This window comes from Homo sapiens, chromosome 18, assembly GCF_000001405.40.
Source record: "Homo sapiens chromosome 18, GRCh38.p14 Primary Assembly".
In the NCBI taxonomy this organism is placed as follows: Eukaryota; Metazoa; Chordata; class Mammalia; order Primates; family Hominidae; genus Homo; species Homo sapiens.
In genome coordinates, this window is record NC_000018.10 from 11311855 (window position 1) to 11319546 (window position 7692).

A 7692-nucleotide genomic window follows, 5' to 3' on the forward strand; every position below is an offset into this window, starting at 1 on the left:
AGGTCTAACAAAAATATTGCCATTGAATATTATCACCTGACTCTGAAAGTTACTGATGTGAAACCCACATCTTTTCATCTTTATTTATAAGAGTACATTATTGTTGTTTTCCTCTGTGAATGATGGTGTCATCCAAAGAGCTTTGTTTTTCTACTATTTTGTTTTTGAAATGTTATAGATTTAAAAGCTTATATGTTTGTAGAAAGCAAATTTAAAAATTAAAAAATATTTTAGAGCACATTCCTATTTGACCCTACGGGAATGTGTCCTATTTGACACATTCCTATTTTCTTATCCTGCAAGAGATAACACCTACTAAACTTGACCTGCAAGTGACATAAAGGACAGATTTTGAGTGAGGGTCAGAAACAAGGGCGTTTAAATTGAGCTTCTGCAGTGAATTCTACTACAGGTACATGTCCAGGGGTGCAAATAACTGGGGTAAAATTAATAAAGATACTATTTATCAACTTTAATATATAACTTCATAACATTAAAAGGGAGTAGCCATGCTCAAATCCCAGAAGTTCCTGATTGGCCTGGGAAAAACATTTTTAAATTTAACTAAGAAAGAAGCCGGCGTCATTTGAACAGAAATGACTCATATAATATAACCTTAAAGGAATAAAGAGATGATCTTTTTGAAAATAGGGTAAGCTACGTATCATATCCACCAGGTATAATCATACCTACATAATCATAAAATCAGAAATATAAGCAGAAGTGGGCAAGAACAAAAGCTACTTTTCCAATTTTGCTTAAACTGTTTTAGAGGCAGGAAATCTTTTCCAGTTTTTTAAAAAACCATGCCATATAAGAAGACTGTTCATAAAGTAGCTTGAAGAAATGTGAATGACTAAGATTATCTGATTTCTGGGAAGATGCTGGGATGCTGGGATGCTGGGATAAACAGAAGACATATTATTGCTCTATCAGGTGAGATGGGGGAGTGCACAGAAGTGTGGGCCGACAGGTGCAGGAAGCCGAGGCCGGGAATCAAGACCAGCATCTCCGGTTCACACCCATCTGCCCTCACCTCCGCCGACTTTCCCATCTGTCTCTGGACTGGGGTCCCAGCTTGATAACACACTGCAGTGCATTTCCTCTGTTTTGCATGTGATCCTTTGGGGCTGGGCCTGGGAGGCAGCAGCATCTGGATAATGGCTCATGACCACCACGACTACTTCTCGGGGCAATTAACAAGAAAACATCCTGAGCTGAGAAAGAAAGAAGGGCTTGAATACAAGTGGAGACTGAATAAGCCGACCATGGAGGAGGAGAGAGCTGGGAGGCTTGAGGGAGATGTTTACAAGCCTGAGAAGCAGCAAACACAAGCACCATGACACAGAGGCAGCATGTGCAACTCTTCAGGACAAAATGCATCCGGAAGAGAGAAGATGATTTTTAAAATAAATATAATTTGAACTTTCGGAGAAATATGAAAGGCTACAGTAACTATAAAATAAAAACAGAAGGCATGAAAGTATATTTTTAAACAATTTTAAATAAGTACAGGTACCAAGATCTGGCTAATTATTATGGTATTTAATCAAGAACAACCCACAGGATGTATTCCTCCTTCACCCATGTACAAAGAACAACTGCATCTAATATTTGTCCCTGGTTTTAAATCTTCCTTTCTTATGTGTTTACTTCTTTTTATTTTTTTAGAGACAGGGTCTGGCTCTGTGGCTCAGGCTGGAGTGCAGCAGGGCCATCATAGCTCACTGTAGCCTCGAACTCCTGGGCTCAAGTGATTCTCCCACCTTGGCCTCCCAAAGTGCTGAAATTACAGGCTTGAGTCATTGTGCCTTTTAAAAAAACCTTTGAACAAAGTTGTGCTTCTGCAGAGGAAGGAGGCCAACCATGGAGGAAGCTATTAGGCAAGAAAAAGAGGCATAGCAGAGGCTATGCTAGCTTCAGATCTGTGCTGAGGGGATAGCACCTCTGACCTGCCATGAAGTGAAGGCAATCGGTGCTCATCTGAGCTCCAGCTCCTGTGCCTACACCCCTGCCAGCCCCAGGAAAAGCAGGCTTCCCTTGGCACCTTCACCTCATCTATCTCCAGCCCTGGAGTTTGCTCTTCTCCATAGGGACACGCCCTTCGAGGAAAAGACCGTTCATGGCTGCTGAGGAAACTCCGTAATTACCCATTCTAAACATTTTGTCCTCCGTAAACAAACGTACAGATTTTAAAAATCAGCAGGGTGTGGTGGCTCACACCTGTAATCCCAGCACTTTGGGAGGCCGAGGCGGATGGATTACCTGAGGTCAGGAATTTGAGACCAGCCTGGCCAACATGGTGAAACCCCATCTCTACTAAAAATTAAAAAGTTAGCCAGGCGTGGTGGCACATGCCAGTAATCCCAGCTACTCGGGAAGCTAAGGCAGGAGAATTGCCTGAGCCCGGGAGGCGAGGTTGCAGTGAGCCAAGATTGTGCCACCGCACTCCAGCCTAGCTGACAGCGTGAGACTCTGTCTCAAAAAGAAAAATAAGAAGAAAAAGAAAAAAATCAAGAGGCATTCGAATGATTCGAATGTAACTCAGAACATGCAAGAAAAAGACCTCCATAAACAAAGGAAACATTAGGTTCTAGAGAAATACTCAGAGATGGAGAAGGGAAAGAAGAGAACTTCTGAAAAATACAAATTAATGTTGTCAGAGATTTAAGCCCTTAATCTATTTATGCTCTTTTAAAGGAACAGCCAGCTATGAAATTAAACAGAGTTTTGTAAATTAAAAACTGATATACATATACAAACAGAGGGAGAGAGAGAAATGGAAGGAGATAGGTCAATATAAAAACTGAATAATTCCGTATTATATGGCTAAAGTTCTAACTATTTGTTGGGAAATAAACTTGGAGAAATCTCCCATAACATACCATAAAGGAAAAAAAAACAATAGATTCAGTGAAAGAAAAATTTGAAAGCAAAGAGGATCATTACAGAAAGTCTAATGTTCATCTAATAGAAATTTTAGAAAGAATTGAACAATGAAGAGATGAAATGATTTTTAAGAAAAGAAGAAAGATAATTTCCTGCGATGAAGATTTTAATCTCCAATTTTATAAGGTCCTTTGAATGTCAAAAAGGAAAATTTGAAAAGAGAAGGATACAAAATTTTTGAATTTTAACAAGATAAAATGCTTAAAATTCCCACAATGAAAGAAAAACTGGTATCAGACTTTTATCTACTTCACGGGTTTCTAGATCTAAGGCAAAATGATCACTTATGTATTAACAGTTAACTAATATTTACAGACATGCCAAGACTCAGAAAATTTAACATGTGAAAGAATAGCCTGCTATGAAATAAAGAAAAAAAGGCAGAGTTTTATAAATTAAAAACTGACATACATGCACACATGCAGAGAGAGAGAGAAATATTCCTTCTGAAAACAAAATTACTAAATGATAAATTCAAATAGAACAATCAGATAAATGAATCAATTTGAAAAGCCATGGGCTACATGAAGAACAAATTAGCCAGAACACAGATTTTATTTTTACAATGAAAAATGTGAATAGGTTATATTTATTAACTAAATGAGATAAAATCAAATTCATATAATAAAATAATTTTGTGTTGCTTGATAAAAATATACTTAAATCAAAATTAAGATAAAAGTTGAATATGAAACCATGGACAAATATATACCAGGTAGATGAGTTTTTAAAAAAAAACAATTAAGTGATGATTAAATAAAGAATCCTATTGCTTGCTTAGCATCATTTATATAATGTGTGAAATACTAATTTTTAAATGTGTTTGTGTAAGTGTAACAATTGGACACAAATAGCCAAGATATATTTTACAAAGAAATAGAATTAAGGTAATGCTAGATATTAAATCTCATTCTCTTGCTTAGTTGCACTATCCGTTGTTGAAAGTAGAATAGTGAAGTCTTTATTACCGGTAAATTGTCTATTGCTCTCTTCAATTCTGTCAGTTTTGCTTCATGTATTTTGAGATTCTGTTGTTACATATACATATATTTATATTTGTTATACCTTCTTGGTGAATTTACCCTTATGTCATTATAAAATGTCCTTTGTCTCCAGGAACAACATGTGTCTATTTTGTCTAATATTAGCATAGTCCCTCCAGCTCTCTGTTGGTTATCCATCTCTTTCCATCATATTAATTTCAACCAATTTGTGTCTTTGAATCAAAAGTGTGTTTCTTGTATACATATTGTTGGATAGATATAGCGTATATTTATACAATGTTTTTTTCATTCACTCTTCCAATTTCTGACTTTTAATTGGAGAATTTAATCTATTACTATTTAATATAAGTAAGATAGAATTTACGTCTGCCATTTTGTTATTTGTTTTTTACGTGACTTACGTCTTTTTTGTTCTTCCTTTTTTTTTCCATTACTGCCTTGTGTTAAATAGATATCTTCCAGTACCACTTCTATTTTCCAGTTAGTTCTTTTACTATATATTTTTGAGTATTTTATCATGATTATTATTGGGGTTACCATTAGCATTTTAGCTTACAATAATCTAGTTTGGATTACTACCAACTACTTCAATAGTATTTTTTTTAATTTTGTTTCTATATAGCTTTGTTCCCCTACCCCTTAGGGCTGTTATGGTCCCAATATACATCTTCATATATTTTGAGGCCTTAATACATTGTGTATCAATCTACTTAGATGTACAATTATTGCATTAGGCAGTAGTCTTTTAAATCAGATAGGATATTTTAAGAGGAGCTACAAACAAAACCAAATTTCTACTTTCTTCTATATTTATATCTGTCCCAGGCATAACCATCTTAGATCATCCAGTCACCAGTCAACAACCCTCCAGCTGAGTGAGCCTAACCAAGATCACCCTTGCCCTGTCCCAACCAGAAGAACCACCCAGCTGACCCTAGGCTCATGAGCAATCATAAATGTTTATTGCTTTGCTCCACCAAGCTTTGAAGTGGTTTTCTTTACAGCATTATTGTGGAAGTAGATAAAAAGTGATTTAGTAAATTTTTCTGTTTGATTTGTGATGTATCCTTTTTCATTCTGCTTCTTCACATGCTACATTCTGTATCACCTCCATTGTTCCTTCCATCTATCCAGTCTTTTTTTGCCAACACCACCCTTTTTGATTTTTCACTTTTCTGTATATTCCAATATTTCATTTTCCAAGAAATGGGTATTAAATTCTTCTGCCACTTTCTCAGCATAGAGGATATTGTATGTTTTTTCTTATTGGTTCTATTGATGTAATGTTATATATTCATGATTTAATAAATTAAACTGCTCATGAATTCATGCAAATAGGTTTTTCTCAGGAATTCATGAGACAGGTCTCAATCAGTTTTGAAGTTTATTTTGCCAAGGTCGAGGATGTGACCAGGAGACAGGTCTGTGCCTTTCTTGAAAGATGATTTTGACGGCTTCAATATTTAACGGGAACAAGTGGACTGGAGGGGAGGGAAAGAGAGTATGGTTACATTATGGAATCCACATGTTGCAAGATAAAGGAGCAGGTAAGGGAATGGTCAATTTTGTATTTGTCTGGAGCTCAGTAAATCCACACTTTATATAAGATAAGGTGGAGATAGAGTAGCTACCTGTGGAAATATTTAACCTTTTATATGTACCTCTCTGCTTAGGAACAAAAGGAAAGGCAGCTTCTTTGTAGGTCTCAGCTTTCAGCCTGATTTTTAATTTTGGCAGAGTGAATTGGGGTCCCAAGTTTTATTTTCCTTTCACATTTCGATCTCAGTCTTCTAGAATTTTACCCACTATTTTTACATCTACACTTACATGTGAATTTGGTCTTTAGTTTTGTGTGTTCTCATTATCACAATTTTATGTGAGAATTTTGAAAGCTTAGTGAAATGAATTGGGTTTCCTTAATTGTCTATGCTTTGGGGCATAATTTATATATTAGAAGCATTATCTGTTCCTTGAAGATTTCAAGTAACTGACTCGGAAAACCATCTTTATATCTAACTCACTGAGCCCCTTAGCAATGAACACGTTTAATGATCAGATCTAAGAGGAATACAATACCAATTATGTAGTCATTCTGCCAAAAATGCATAACTGAAATCTAATCATGATGACATAGAATACAAACAAATTAAGGGACAGTATGCAAAATAAACAGTTGAAATATACTTTTCAAAAATACCTGTGCCATGAAAGACAAAAAAAAATTAAAGAACTTTTCTAAATTCAAGGACACTAAAGCGACATGAAAACTAAGGGCAATGTATGATCCTCAGTTGGAGCCTGGATTAGGAAAAATGGCTGTAACAGATATTATTGAATAATCGGCAAATTTTTAATATGACTATAGGTTAAATAATAGTATTACAGCTGTGTAACTTACCTGATTTTGGTAATTATGCTGTGGTTATGTAAGAGAATGCCCTTGTTCTTAGGTGATGTTCTCTGAAGTATGGAGAGTTAAGGAGAAAAATGGTCATAAGGAACAACTCTTTTTTACTTTTAGACAATCAAATTAACGCCATTGTAATTACACCAACTCAATTGGAATTGACACAAATATTTTTCCAGACACAACAGAAACTCACTAAATCTAAGTGTTTATTATGAATTTTAAAAATCTCATTAATAAAGCATTAGATTATTTCATACATCATTTATATAATTATTTATAATCTCTGTATTTTCATGCTAGAATTTTGATAGGGCTATAACAAGTAGTAAATAATACAATTGGATTCTGCATATCTCTCATAGTTTTGGCCAACACAGATATTAAAATCATGCTAATGACATAGTTACATTGTGTCATGTATGTGGGCCCTTTTTTTTAGAAGGAACTCTAAATAAACTCAGAGTGTGTGCATCTGAAACCTACAATGAATCTGGAAGGTAAATAGCTGTACCCCTCACTGTTTACTGGCCAACTGTTTACACAGCTCATGAAAAAACACATGTATGTGCCCATTCAAATGTTTTTAATCCGAGAAAATTGTCAGAAATAACCTGGAAGCATTTCTTCCTGAAGACAAAGTCTGAGGGTGGTGACCTGTAGAGCGAGAAGACGTTGATCTACTGTCTTCCAAGTGCAAGATTCTGGGCTAATGAGACAGCTCAGGGTGAGTTTCAGTGCCCAGGCAGCAGGCTGAGATGAGGCCTCACTCTTCTGTGGAATCCATTTATTTACATGCATCTTGCTATGTTTACAGATGGGCAGCAGATTAAAAAAACACCATAAGTAAGCCTAAAGGCACTTAAGAAGAGTACTATATTAGTTGAATAATAAAACTGAGTAAATTTTAGAATGTAACTTAGATAAATTGGGGTTAATAAAGAAATGTCTAGGTATTAAAAATTGTTTTCACCGGGCGCAGTGGCTCACACCAGTAATCCCAGCACTTTGGGAGGCCAAGGCAGGCAGATCACCTGAGGTCAGGAGTTTGAGACCAGCCTGCCCAACATGGTGAAACCCTGTCTCTACTAAAAATACAAAAATTAGCCAGGCATGGTGGCAGCTGCCTGTAATCCCAGCTACTCGGGAGGCTGAGGTAGGAGAATTGCTTGAATCCGGAAGGTGGGGGTTGCAATGAGCTGAGATCGCGCCATCGCACTCCAGCCTGGGCAACAAGAGCGAAACTCTGTCTCTAATAAATAAATAAATAAGTAATTGTTTTCACCTAGATGTCTTGGAATTTTATGGAGAAATTCTCAAGATTTGCCTGTG

The 7692-nt window shown here is 36.1% G+C and overlaps 1 long non-coding RNA gene across 1 annotated transcript; it reads right to left on the reverse strand.

Annotated features, from left to right (window-relative positions):
• Positions 1 to 4893: 4893 nt before the first annotated feature.
• On the reverse strand, positions 4894 to 7165 carry LOC105371993 (uncharacterized). Its single transcript, XR_935154.3, has 3 exons — positions 6975 to 7165; positions 6352 to 6413; positions 4894 to 5434 (listed from the first exon to the last, which is right to left on the reverse strand). It is a non-coding gene; the product is annotated as an uncharacterized LOC105371993 (long non-coding RNA).
• Between the last annotated feature and the right edge of the window lie 527 nt (positions 7166 to 7692).